At 37.8% G+C, this 15,014-nt stretch overlaps 1 long non-coding RNA gene across 1 annotated transcript in view; it reads right to left on the bottom strand.

Moving 5' to 3' along the window:
- The window catches only part of LINC01412 (long intergenic non-protein coding RNA 1412), a 57,567-nt gene that overhangs the window by 12,622 nt on the left and 29,931 nt on the right, over window positions 1-15,014 (bottom strand). Inside the window, exon 2 of the long non-coding RNA NR_110570.1 lies at window positions 243-380. This is a non-coding gene — a long non-coding RNA (long intergenic non-protein coding RNA 1412). The remainder of the gene's footprint in view (window positions 1-242; window positions 381-15,014) is intronic.

The raw sequence follows: 15,014 nt of genomic DNA, 5'->3' as shown, positions 1-15,014 counted from the left end.
CAGAAAAATGACAAATGGAAAGAAATCAAAGATGTATTTGATACTCCCCTTACAGCTTGTCTTGTTGTACCCAGGTATTATGCACCTACAGCGTGTAAGGTCACACATTGATTGACAGCCTTCCCATGCTAAAGAAAAGAACTGAAAAAAGAGGCAGCACGTGGCAAATACCTCAGGTTCCTTTCTCAGCTAGTTCACTCAAATCCCCCTGTAGGGGTTTCCAATCCTCCCCTCAATTTCACCTTGAATTCTCTGGTTTGATTGAAGAGCTTCACAGAAGGGTCTATTACAGATTGAGGAATGATCCATTTCACATCTGAAGCTCCAAAGAGCTACTTGTGAGGAATCTTTGAGTGCATTTATCTCACATGTGAAGCTTTCTGCAAAATCAATATGGGTATTTTTCAGTTTGACAAGTCAACATGAAATATCACATAATAATAGAAAAACAGAGTTGTACATTTAAGCACAGCCAATACAGTTATCTGTGACAAAGCTTATAGTTATCACTCATGGATATTCTTGAGTATGTCTAATCTAAATTCATCCTGATGGCTGGGCTAGAGAGCATAGAAAGTGTAACTGACTGGTCATCATATTTCTGGCTGTTATGTCCTAATTAATCCAGGTTTTGTGGTGAGGGCAGAGAATGGGCAGGAATCATGGCCTTTGCTTCTAATGTGAGATTGATATGATAAGTGGAAGAAAGTAACCAAAGGTGAAAAAAAAAAAAGAAAGAAATAGAACAAAGGAGAGTTATTTTAAATAATTCACATTTAACTAATTGGCAAAACTGGGTGAAATGGTCACCCAAAGAATGACAACCATGTCTCATATCCCCACCACAACTGAGGCAAGTACTAGCAGAATAACTGACATATTTGTGAATAAGTGACGTATTTGTGTTGGGGTCTGATAATCTTTGGGTGAATTCCAAGTTTATTTTACCATCTGCATAAGCTTGAGGAACATGATTTCTCATCTCCAAATCTCTGTTTTTTCATTTTGAAATGGGATTAATCATAAGATTTTATCTTATACGTTTTCATGACAGTTAAACAAGATGCTGCATAAAGCATCTGGCACATAGAGAATGTTTCACTGTTGGTAATTATTGATGAAATTATTATGGTTTCATTGAACCCATTCACCACATCTCTAGGGCTCTAATCTGGTGCCACTTCTTCTGTCCCCTGGGACCTTTCTACATTGTTTGGTGTTCCCAAGTGGTAGATGACAATTCTGGTCAGAGTGTGCTCACTGAATTAGCTCTGGTCCTCATAGAGGAGTGCAGCGCTTGTCTTAAAAACAATCTTCCTCCAGCCAGGAAGGCTGTCCTCATCAACCACATGGGAGAAAACCAGATGGGAATGTGAAAAGGAAATAGAACTCAGGCGTAGAGTCCAAATCAGCTGATCAATCCAGGCAATCAGTGAGGCGAGAGATGGAGAGAAATGTCACATATGGTTTTTCTTCATATGGCAGTATGTTACAATTAATAATGGAGTTATCTCTATATACCCCATGATAGGAAAGACCTTAAAAACAAACAAAATAAACAACCCTCAGGAGAAACCCAGATCTAGTTAAATAGTTCACAACAACTATTTATTCCTCTCTGTCACATTTTTCGGTAACCTATCAACATGTAATACCCGATTATCTGTGCTTGGGCCAACTAATTTGTAGAATACTTGAAATATATTTTAAATTTTTTTAATTTAAAATTTTAATTTTAGGTTAACTCTCCCGACCACTCAGAATAAATCCAGAGTAGACAAAATATGTGAGTTCAGAGTCATAAAAATTAACTTTAAAAACAAAATAAGAAAGAACATCAGGCTAGGCGCGGTGGCTCATGTCTGTAATCCCAACACTTTAGGAGGCTGAGAAGGGTGGATCAGCTGAGATCAGCAGTTCAAGACCAGCCTGACCAACATGGTGAAACCCTGTCTCTACTAAAAATACCAAAATTATCTAGGCATGGTGGCACATGCCTGTAATCCCAGCTACTTGGAAGGCTGAGTCTGGAGAATTGCTTGAACCCGGGAGGCGGAGGTTGTAGTGAGCCAAGATTGTGTCATTGCACTCTAGCCTGGGCAACAAGAGTGAAACTCTGTCAAAAAAAAAAAAAGAAAAGAAAAGAAGAAACATCATTATAGAGCACAATAACTAAGTATAAATGACTTTGTGTTTAATTAATTCAAACAATATATATCAAGAAATTAATATATGCAATATTGTTAATTTTTTAGCTGCCCTACTGTTCTCCATTATTAAAATTAAGCTATAGTTTTCATTCCAAAAACAAATTAAAATATTTTCTTACATGCTGATATAGAATTACAAGTACAAATCAAAATAATTTCCTACTTAAAAAGGGTCATTTCTTTAAAATTTTATTTATTTGATTCGGGTTCAAAATACAAAATTTGTGTTCAAAATTTGTTCCTTTACTAAGGAAACAAATTTATAAATAATCATTAAGTTCCCAGATTGACACATAAAAACAAGTTTAATGTAAACTGTATCTGAAACACACTAATAATACCACCTCTCGAGCAACTCTAGGTTATAAGGTCTATAAATAAAGTAAACCCTGTGAAAGCTTAGGGAGTATCATTGGGCACCAAGTTTACAAACTTTGCGACATACCAGGCAAGAGATCAGATAGAAGGATGGATCAGTTAGGAGTTCAGGTGATCACCATTCTCGTCACCACCACCATGTGAACATCATCATCATTATTATACCATATTTCACCCAACATATTAGTACAGGATAGCTATTAAAATTATAATGGTAGGTAGCCAATAAGATGACATCTCATCATCTTGTATTTTTAAGTGGGTGGAAATGAAGTGCACCAGGATGTCAGAAACTTACTATATTCTCTCTGGCACATAAATCTTTTCCATGATGTTTATATTTCCCGTTCAGGACCCTGAGCATTTTTAATGTACTTTCATTTAAGCAAATAAAGGCTCTAAAATATCAGTCCACGTTTCAACATCTCCTGCTTTTAGATTTTGCCTTGTACTATGGCAAGCCAGATTCCTTAAGCACAGCTTTGAAAGGTCTAGGAAAGGAACTAGCTTGAGACCTGTTTAGCATATTCTTTAGCATTCTGGTAGTACCACAATATCAAGGCGAATATTTGCCTTAAAAAAAAATCCCAATGGAAAATAATTTTATGACTTTTCTCAATTATGTATTTGAAAGTTTATCCTCCTTCAGTATCAGGGTTTTCCACCTTATCCCATTTCTGGTTTTGATTTTAATTATAAACCTTACTACTCAAAACTATCAGTAATATCTGTCTTTCAGGTACTTCAAGTGTGCCAGTAACAAGCCTCATATAGTTCAACTAATATAAATGCTGACTATGGGCACTCGTTCCTGCCACTTGTCCATACATTTCAAGCAAGTACACACTATCCCTATGGTTTGCAATCTAAACGGTTTGCAAACCTAAATGGCCTCTGTCCTCATCATGTTGTATCACAAAACATACGCATACCTTCACTTTAAATGGAATTAAGCAGAGGCTGGGAAGGAGGAAGAAATAGGGAGTTATTGTCTAATTTTTGGAGTCTCAGCTTTGCAAAATGTAAAGGTTCTGAAGATCTTTTGCACAGCAATATGCACATACTCAACTCTACCAAACTATACACTCAAAAAATGGTTAAGATGGTAAATTTTGTATTTTGAACCACAATTTTTTAAATAAAAAAACTAAATAATGTAGTCAAACTGCTTTTAAAAAAACTCATATCCTGTTTTTTAAGTGTTAGGCAGCCAAGATCCTATGTCTCATTCCTAATTTCTTTCCTATAAAAATGTTGCCTGGGAAATTGTCTCTATAGTTTTCAGTTCCAAATGAACTAACATCTGACTTGACGTAGGATAAATTGCACATGAAAATATAGGTCAGGCCGGGCGCGGTGGCTCACGCCTGTAATCCCAGTACTTTGGCAGGCCGAGGCGGGCGGATCACAAGGTCAAGAGATTGAGACCATCCTGGCCAACATGGTGAAACCCTATCTCTACTAAAAATACAGAAATCAGCTGGGTGTGGTGGCGCTTGCCTGTAGTCCCAGCTACTCGGGAGGCTGAGGCAGGAGAATTGCTTGAACCCCAGAGGAGGAGGTGCAGTGAACAGAGATCGAGCCATTGCACTCCAGCCTGGTAACAGAGCGAGACTCCGTCTCAAAAAAAAAAAAAAAAAAAAAAAATACAGGTCAAAACTAAGTAAATTAATGAGACTCCGATTATACAATTTCACTTCTCTTCTGAAAGATTCGAAGAGTGAAGCACAAGAAAACCACCACTCCCAGGTGCTCTGCTCTAAGGCTGCAACTACCATACACTATTATCATTTAGAAACTCAAAATTTCACTGACTCTTCAGAGGACCAAGCAAAAGTTGAAGCTCATTGAGACAAAAATACTTGAGCTCAAACCAAACTAGTTTTCAGTGGTTTCTCCATTTTTGTAACAGAAGTTCCACAGAACCTTACCGCTCATTTTCTTTAGGGTTGCTGATTTTTTGTCTTTAATATTTTAACTTGATAGATTTTTTTACAGTTTTTTAAAAAGTTATATTATACAATAAAGACTTTTCAGGATTCAGGGTCATAATGCTTTTTTTTTTTAACAAGCTGATCAAATTTATATTTGTCCCACACAAAGTTAGGACACAGAAGCTTCAAAAGAAGTAGACAAAATGGGACCAGAGTAGCTTATGGAAACTAATGTCTTTATAATCCTGCTTCATATACACAGAATGAAATCAGTCAACAGCAAAAGCAGATAGTTTCCTTTTTAATGTAAGATCCCAGGGATAGAATGATAGAATAAAAGCTAACAGACATGGTACACTGATTCAAAAATTTATTACAAATTTTTTTTCTGTATTCCCACTTCACTTCAATCATTCTGTGACTTAATCATTTGTTTTTAACATTTATTCTTACAGTCTACATAGCTTATTAGATTAGGGGTAGCAGAACCTTGAGGGCTGGTGTGAATTTGAGTTTTGTAATAATACTAATAGTTTTAATAATAACAGTTACCTCTGACAACATCTCTCAGGCAATTATATCATTTCCTTAGAACAATCATGTGAGTTTAGTATCTATATCTCTCTGAGATATGAGGAAATTAAATAACTTGGCCAAAATTGCACACTAAAAAAAATGCCATGCTCTTAACCACGAAGCTTTGCTGCATCTTGATGAATTGTCATAAGTGTAGCTTCATGTCAATGTAGATTATTTTTCCACCTCATCCATTAAAAACGCTTCTTTACTTATCTTCTTGATAACTGAGCTCCCTCTCACTTTTGGGATATTCTATTGCCCAGTAGCTTCTGAATAGAAATGATATCTTGGACACAGTCACTTGTTTTGATTGACGCTATGATTGAACTAAATATGGTCATTAACCAACATGGTCATTGACTGCCAGCAGCAGCTCCCTTTGTTCCACTGCTACCTCACGGGCACCAGTGCATAACTCACTTTTATGGGGTGTGTGGTCATCAGGCAACGAGCTTACAGACCATTTACTACATATAGCAACATCCACAAAGGCATGAATTTTGAAATTTCCTTGAAGTCAAGGCTATCATCATTAGTAATTTAGGGTATTCCAGAAGACACTAATACCCACTGCAAATGCCACAACACCAGTGAAGAACATAAAGACTAGCACAATGGGCCTTTCCATTTTCCTGCCTCAGACCTTCCTTTCCCTTTCCTCACACCTTTCTATGCCCAAGTGGGTATATTTGTGCCTTTCCTAATGAATACAGAGTGGGGACGCACCCACAAGAGGTTATTGGGGCTAGTCTTAGAATCCAAGAATAGTGGAACTGGAACCCTAAAAACTCTCTAGACTATGCCATAAAATTACATATGACAAAAATGTGGTCCAAAGAGGTCCAGTGGTTTGCCCAAGGGCATAAGCCAACAAGTGAAAAAGTGGAGACTTTAAACTCCAAGTACAGTGCATTTCTACTTATAAGACTGTCTTCAACAAAAATCCAAATAATTTACTGGACACTTTACATACAGTATTTCATGTAATCCTCACAACCTTCACATAAGATAAAGATTATTACTCTTTCTACAAATGAAACAGATTAAATAATTTAGCAAAGTTCACATAGTTAGAAAGTGTCAGTAGCAAAGATCTGCTATTAACACCTTACTTTCAATGAAATGGGAAGGGAAGGGAAGGGAAGGGAAGGAAAGGAAAAGGAAGGGAAGGAGAGGGGAAGGGAGGAGAGGCGAGGAGAGGGGAGGGAAGGGGAGGGTAGGGGAGCTAATCCAGGAAGGATTATGACACTAGACAGTGAGACAGCAATGGACTGATTTTGAGATTAGAGAAGAGGAAGTTGTGAAATTAAGGCCCAGGGAATTTATTTTAAAAACTAAAATAAATATGTTACATAAACACACTGGTCTTTAACTTTATTTCTTTATAACTTCTTTTTTTTCCCAAAAGGGTTTAAGTAGTATTATTTTTTAAATGCATCCAATACAATAAAATAAAATAAACTTAAAGTAGGTAAATAAAATGAGTCCAGGAGAAAATGCAGTGATGTAAAAGAGACAAAATTCTTGCAAAGAAGCCTGATACACTTGCCAGAGGTAGGCTATAAATTTGAATCTGAGCTTTCAGACTGGCTACATGAAGAGGGAAACATGATCCATTACATGAACTGCAGCATCCCTAAAACAAAGAACAAGCCATTTGTCCAGGAGAGACATCATTATTCCTGGTTATGAGACCATAGAGAAATTTGTCCCTGTGGCCCTCCTTGAGAAGGCACAGTATAAAGCAGAGAACAGAGGCCTCAACAATATCCTCACAGCACACAGAACAACACATTGTGTAGGGCTGTTTATTGTACCGTTCATTAGTGCAGCAGCCTTGCCCTGGGGCAGAATTCAGCAATGGCACTTCTTGGAGAACAGCATGCTAGTTGTCTCCAGGAACGGGAAGGAAGAGAACTGTGTTGAATGGGAAGGATGCTGAAACAACATAGACACGGTGTGGAAGTCTCACACAAACACAACACTAAGCTAACCTCCTTAACACCTTCACTAGAACACCACCAACCCATCTCAGTTTATGAGTCATTGAGCCTCTTTCCACTTACTTTGTCCAATCCTGTTTGGATTCACTCTTCCTAATCTCCCCTAATGCCAAGGAGGAACAGATCAAAACCAGTAGCTCCTGCACCAAACCCAAATATCAAATTGACCTGAGGAAAGTGATGAAGTGGGCAAAGTAGGCAAGGTGAGGCCAGGAGAGCCACTTCAACAACAGTGTGCTCAAAGATGGTGACAGTGCAGTGTGTCAGATAGGGGCTCCACCACTCAAGCTCAGCAAAGAGCCCCAGTGACCACAAACAAACCTCTGCTACAAGACTTTACACTCGTTCACTTATTCACTCATTTACTGAGTCCATAAATACTTTAGTAAGTATTAAGGTTACATGCTGGGGATACACAGGTAGACAAGACACAAGTGGCCCTTTCCTAATGGAGCCTTTACCTGAAGATGTTCTTAATTGGGACAACTTGAGGAGGTAGAAGAGAGCTGGAGAAGTAATTAAGGATTAAGGAGATCCTGCTTTTTTTTTAAATTTTATTATTATTATTTTTGACGGAGTCTCGCTCTGTCGCCCAGGCTGGAGTGCAGTGGTGCAATCTTGGCTCACTGCAACCTCCACCTCCCTGGTTCAAGCAATTCTCCTGCCTCAGCTTCCTGAGTAGCTGGGACTACAGGTGGCCACCACCATGTCCGGCTGTTTTTGTGTTTTTAGTAGAGATGAGTTTTCACCGTGTTAGCCAGGATGGTCTCGATCTCCTGACCTCGTGATCCGTCAACCATGGCCTCCCAAAGTGCTGGGATTAGAAGCATGAGCCACCACGCCCAGCTGATCCTGCCGTTTTTTCATAAAAGGCCATAGGAAAGTTTTTCTGGAAATTGGGAGAGCAGCCCTTCTTTAGAGATTAACTAAAGACCGTGACCTTGCTCTTCATTTCAATAGTCCATGCCTTCCAGTTGCTTCGTCTATCAAGAAGGAAACTAATACCTAAAACAAACACTTCATAGTGTTTTATGACAGCAAAAATAAGAGTAAGATGTGAAAGCTACAAACATTCTAGAAGTATTATCTCCAAAAAGTGTGCACATTGATAAAATGGACCTTAAAGTTATTACACATAATAATTGTACCTGAGTGTCTGTCACAGTTAGAAACATGTTAAAAATACAAGATAATGAAATAAAAATGAGCAATTTATTCTATCTAAATACTAGACAACTATATTAATTAATAACATTTAATGTCTTGCATGGAAGGACTCACCAAATTACAAATATAGTCCTTCTAGAATACTAAAACCATAACTAAGTGTAGGCTAAAATAGAACCACCAGTGAACCCTTACCTGTTGATGTACAAACAATGTGTTTATGTATAAGGAATAAAATACAATTTAAAATAGTCATTTCACATCATCAAGCGAAGTTCAGAGCATGCTAAGAAATAACTGTTCCAGAAAGGGTTGTGCCTTCTTCACCTGCAATTTCTTTAACTGAAACTGGAACTATCATCTCCCTTCCCCAACTCACTGGTTCTTGTTACACCAAAGAAACGTAGCCAACTGAAAACAATGAGCAGTTGTCGTGACTGTAGAGATTAAACCAATTTTAAGCATTTTTACATAAAGCACGTATCACAAGATGCACTGCACAGCATTATTTGCCTGAGGTCGGATTCTTACCTTTTCCTTTTCTAGATTGGTTAACAAGCACTACATATTTAAGAATGGAATTCTTCATCTTCAAAGTTATCTGATTGCACGTCATAAACAATTTGATTGAAAGTAAAGGGGAGCCAGTTGTGGTGCTTATGCCTGTAATCCCAGGGCTTTGGGAGGCCAAGGCAGGAGGATCACTTGGGGCCAGGAGTGTGAGACTAGCCCAGGCACCATAGCAAGACCCCATCTCCACAAAAAATAATCCTACTACTAGGTATCTACCCAGAGGAAAAGAAGTCATTACACAAAAAAAATACTCGCACACTCATGTTTCTAGCAGCATCATTTGCAATTGCAAAAATATGGAACCAGCCCAAATGTGCATCAATCAATGAGAGGATACAGAAAATGTTTTTTATACACACACACACACACACACACACACACACACACACACACACCATGGAATACTACTTAGTCATAAAAAAGAATGAAATAATGGCATTTGCAGAAACCTGGATGGAATTGGAAACTATTATTCTAAGTGAAGTAACTCAGGAATGGAAAACCAAATATCGTATGTTCTCATTCATATGTGGGAGCTAAGCTATAAGGATGCAAAGGCATAAGAATGACATATTGGACTTTGAGGACTATGGGGAAAGGGTGAGGGGGTGGCAAGAGATAAAAGACTACACATTGGGTACAGTGTACATTGCTTAGGTGATAGGTGCACCAAAATCTCAGAAATCACCACTAAAGAACTTATTCATGTAACTAAACACCACCTGTTCCTCAAAAATCTATTGAAATAAAAAAGTAAAATAAAACAAAAATTAAAATATTACCAGGCATAGAGGTATACAACTATAGTCCCAGCTACTTGGGACGCTGAGGTGAAAGGATTCCTTGAGTCCAGGAGTTCAAGGGTGCAGTGAGCTATGATCACGCCACTGCACTACAGCCTGGGTGACAGAGCAAGACTGTCTCAAAAAAAGAAAAAGAAACAAAGAAAGTAAAGGGCTCATTGGATACCTCACTTGCTAAAGTAGTGTGGTACCTGTGTAATGCTCTTTTAGCACCCTTTAAAATATGCCTAATCTCTTACCTCTTCCCACTTAGTTTCCTGGATTCAAGGCTATTTCAATGCTCTCCAGGCATCATTATTCCTGGAGACCAATTATATCAAACATTAAAATACACCCATATCACATATTAAACACAATCATTTTGCTGAAAAACTTTGGAAAGAATTTTTGTTTTTAAAACCATTTTTTGTTTCTGAAATACTTAGGCCTCAAGTAATACACCAAATTTACAATGAGCTGTGATTTCTATGCAATCAACATGCACATTTGAACTGTTTTCAAATGTAATGACAATTTTTATGAGCAATCTTTTTGACAATGAATGAAGCTGACACAACATTGCATTTGTTTATATTTGTTAATCTGAGTTTTGTAGTTTTTGTCATTTGCAACCAATATAATTATAATCAGGTCTTAAATATTTTCCTAAGTCCATGAAACCTATAAACTCTGGAGTGCTTTTCTTCTTAATGATGACATGGCCCCACCCACATCAGCCCCACATATCATTTTCACCAGAGACCTGGTCCAAAAGTCTCTGGAGACTGAGCCACCAAAAACCCAACCCAGCGGTGGGCACTGTGAAATACTGCCTTGTCTTCTCTGGTTGAAATCTGGTGCTGGCTAGTCTTCTGTCAAGTGGGCCACATGCGGATGGAAGTGATACTTTCTCTAAGCCCTCCAAACTCCTCAATGCCTGGTAGCTACATTTGGCTGCTTGTTTGGAATTTTTTTTTTTACATCTTTTAAATAAAGTCCTTTCGAGGTCCAGTTGGACATTAGAGGAATAATATGTAACTGACCACATTCCCTTTCATTCACACATACACACACACACACACACACACACACAGACACACACACACACACACACAAAGCACTCAGAGGAAATAGTCTTCAGAATAGATACAATGCATAGCTCTTAACATCTCATATTCAGTCTTTAGAGGCTTCTCAAAGGCAACTACTGCAGCTAGTAGCCCTGGATCCCCACCAGTAGTGAATTATGCTGGGGCCAGAACTCTCCTAGTCCACCACTTCCAATGCTATAGACTCCCATCCTTTCTACTGTACCACTTTAATGGTGAAATGTCTGGAAAATTTGGAAAATTGTGGGAGTAATTACGGCATATGCATATAATTTAAAATTCCATGGAGATTTTTCAATATTTACAATTCTAATTTCCTTGTGGATGACACTGAATTTCTAAAGCAATGGCACCATTAATCCTTAAAATCTATACCTTACATTGGGATCTCATGCTTTGCCTCTATAAGCATCTCCCTAATCCAGTCTCTCACTTTATGCATTTAATATTGGTTGAGCACCTGTCTGTGCCAGGGACCATTGTTGAATCCTGGTGAGTACAGTAGACCCAGTCCCTGGGAACAAAAAGGGCAACTATTGTGACCCATTGTAGTGTTTTATTTATGTGCTTCTGCAAGACTAATTTAAGCCTATTTTACTACAACCCAATCCCATTGCTTTTTGTTCTGCCCTCAGAGTAGGTAAATAGCAGCCAGTCACTATTCTCTCCCAGATAGCTTTCCTGATACTTGAAATGCTCAAGTTCTTTTCTCTTGTTCAAAATAAACATATTTTTTCTGCAAAGAAAAGAATATTACATTTGATGTGTGCAACAAGCCAGTATAACTCCTTTGCCGTGTCATCACATTGTCATTGATATGAAAATATGGAATATAAATTTTCAGTCACATTGAAAGGATAAAGCAAAAGATAGTCCCATGTGATCAGCCAGTTTCTTAAGCATTAATCTATACACTAAACCTGATATTCTAAGAAAATGTTCTATAATGGAAGAAAAATTTTGCATCACTGCGCTAGCTGAGGGAAAAATAACTAATAGTCTTTATCCCTTATGACTCATATCAGAGTGCCCTGCCCCCAAAGAAATCAAGACACACTGTCACTGAACCACATTATTATCCCTTAAGAAGACTATAAAATGTGTACATCATTCATTCGTTGACATTGAACTTGTGCCAAAACTATTAAGAGCTCATATTAATAGATATCCCAAACGTGTAGGAATGAATACAGAATAAAACACAAAATGAAATTGGTATTCACTACTAATTTGTCTTTTATAAATGATTAAGTAAAGCATTTGAAGGAAATAAAAGGGCAATAAATAGCCTTTTATCACAAACTGGGGGATTTCTCTTACTCCAGGCTTGCATACAACCAGTTTAGAAATATGCATAATTGCCTATGGTCAACATCATATCACTGCCAGATCACACATTAAACAGATAACCACTATTATTATAAAAGCAACTTCCTTGACCTCATATTTTGGTCTGGCTAGGAATTCCTGTATTTTCCCAGATCGGCTGTTGCATAGTGCCAATCTTGTGCTGTGCATGTCAATTTGTACCAGTGGAAGTGACCGATGCCTCACAGAACTTACTCTAAAACATGCTTATATGCATATGAATAGCATAAGTTCAAGAAATATGATCATAGTTGTTCTTGCAGTGCTTTTTAAAATCTGAAGTCTATGTGTTGGTTTGTGTTTTTTTTTTATTATAGCTAAGGTACAGTGTGTGTTATTTGGCAGCTGAATTTGACATGAAAACATAAAAGGTTTGGGCAACCACATATTTGGAAATAGAAATCTTTCCTGAAAACATGGCTTTGGTTTTTAAACACAGCTAAATTTCTGGAAACTTCAATTTGTTAAAGACAGCCAAGACTTCAATCATATTTAACATATTCCTGGGGTTTACATATAGTGTTTCAAAGTAATAAACAACATCTTGTTTGGAGTAGCACGAAGAAAATGAGGCAAGCACTTCTTTAGAGTAAAAGCTCTACTTTTAAAAATAGTTTGGAGACTCATTCTTATGTTGGTAAAATCACAAAACACTATTCAGCAAACAAAACATGATGAGCTCAATTCAAGTTGGTAAACATTTTTAGCTGGCTTCATTTGTAGTAAGAATTTTAATGTAACCATGACTTCAGGAATGCATCCCTTATAATGGAAACTTAAGGGGTAAAACTTTTTTGTAATTGTTAATAAGAACAATGGTGTTACATTTGCACTTGAAAATCAGAGGAGATGTGATGACAACAGTAAATTGATTGTTAGAACAATTTTTAAAATCACATTACAGTGCACTAAAATGCATCTGTATTTAGTCACTAACACTCTCACTGCAATGACCAAAAAGCCTCAGGCCTGTTTCACCAGCAGAAAATAGTCTCTTTCCAAAGGTAGGGTCTATACATACTGTACCTCCAGCACATGAAACTTGCATGCAAGCTGTAAATCCTTCACATGCTTTTGCCTCATTGGTCCAAATATGAGTGATGTCTAAAAACCCTTAAGTCACTTAGTAAGAATAACAAACACTTTCCAAGAAGCAAAACATGATGAGTCAAAATAAAACCATCCAAGGAAAGAAAGACATGGGGAGCTTTCTCTATGCTTTGTATAAGACGTCAGGTCAAATTTCACTTAATCATGCTCCTCAAACAGGGACTCAGAACAGAACATTCTTCATAAGAACACTCATGGACGCACATTCACATAACGTATGGCAAATCATCTACTTATTAAACATACAAACATCTTGCTCCTGTGATTAATATTCCTTTATTTTGACTTTATGTTATTCCTAATTTTCAGGCAATACATATTTTGATAGGTAAAACATAATAATTCATCAAAAAATTGAAAAGTTGGTGACATGTTATTCTCCTTTCTCACCACCTGTATTCAAAACTACTATTGAAGTGGACCTCAGAATAGAAAGACCTTGGGTCCAAGTTTGCCTGGGACAGTCTTGATTTGAGTCTCTTTACCTGAAGCAATTAATAATGCCTCTGTTCCAGCTCAAAAGTCTTCCAATTTGGATGATAAACTATATGGCTACTTTTCTTTCTTTCTTCCTTCCTTCCTTTACTTTCCTTCCTTCCTTCCTTTCTTTTCCCTTTCTTTCTTTCTCTCTCTCTTTCTTCCTTTCTTTCTTTTTTCTTTTTTCTTTTTTTCCTTCTTTCTTTTCTTTCTTTTTTTTTTTTCAGAGTTATACTCTGTCACCCATGCTAGAATGTGTGCACTGGCACAATCATAGCTCACTGAAGGCTCAAATACCTGGTCTAGCAATTGTCCTACCTCAGCCTCCCAAGTAGCTGGGACCACAGGCACATGACACCATGTCAGGCTAATTTTTTATAGAGACAAGATCTCCCAGCGTTGCCCAGGCTGGTCTCAAACTGCTGGGCTCAAGTGATCCTCCTGCCTCGCCACCCTTCCTTTAAGGTAATGGATGACACTTACTTGATACAAATTCCAGAGCACCAAGCATATTTGCCTTGAGTATTTCCCTGAACTACACAAGAGAGTCTGAACTCTCCCAGCTATAGTACAAGTTCCTTAGTACTGATTACATTTTTATTTAACTGTATGTCCCATGAACTAGCACAGTGTTCAGCATATAGCAAATGCTAAGTAAATGTTATTCTGGTATATCAACTCTCCAGCCCTATATCAGAATTTAGTTTACAGGGATCTTGATTGCCTTTCCCTTCTACAAGATAGCACACTGATCCACTATATTGATGGTATTACACTGACTGGACCTAGTGAGGGAAAAGTAACGACTACTTACTGGTAAGACATTCGCATCTCAGAAGGTGGGAAATAAATCCAATTAAAAATCAGGGACATTCTCCCTTAATGAAATATCTAGGCATCCAGTGGTAGGGAGCATGCCAAGATATCCCTTCTAAGGTAAAGAATAAGTTGTTGCATCTGGCCCCTACTACAACCGAGAAAAAGGCACAACATTTATTGGGCCTATTTGGATTTTGGAGGCAATAGATTTCTCATTTGGGTATGTTATTACTCTAGCCCATTTACTGAGTAACCCGAAAAGCTGGTAGTGTTGAGTGAGACCCAGAATAAGAGAAGGCTCTGCAAGAGATTTAGGCTGCCATTCAAGCTCCTCTGACACTTGGACTATGTGATCTGGAAGATCTAATGGTACTTAAAATGTCAGTGGCAGATAGAGATGCTGTTTGAGCCTTTGGCAAACCCCCATAGGGGAATCAAGGATCAAGCTTTTAGGATTTTGGAGCAAGGCCCTGCCATCATCTGCAGATAACTACTCTCCTTTGAG

The sequence above is a fragment of the Homo sapiens genome, chromosome 2 (assembly GCF_000001405.40).
Source record: "Homo sapiens chromosome 2, GRCh38.p14 Primary Assembly".
NCBI lineage: Eukaryota > Metazoa > Chordata > Mammalia > Primates > Hominidae > Homo > Homo sapiens.
The sequence above is the reverse complement of the archived record's forward strand: the minus strand, read 5'-3'. Positions and strand labels throughout refer to the sequence as shown.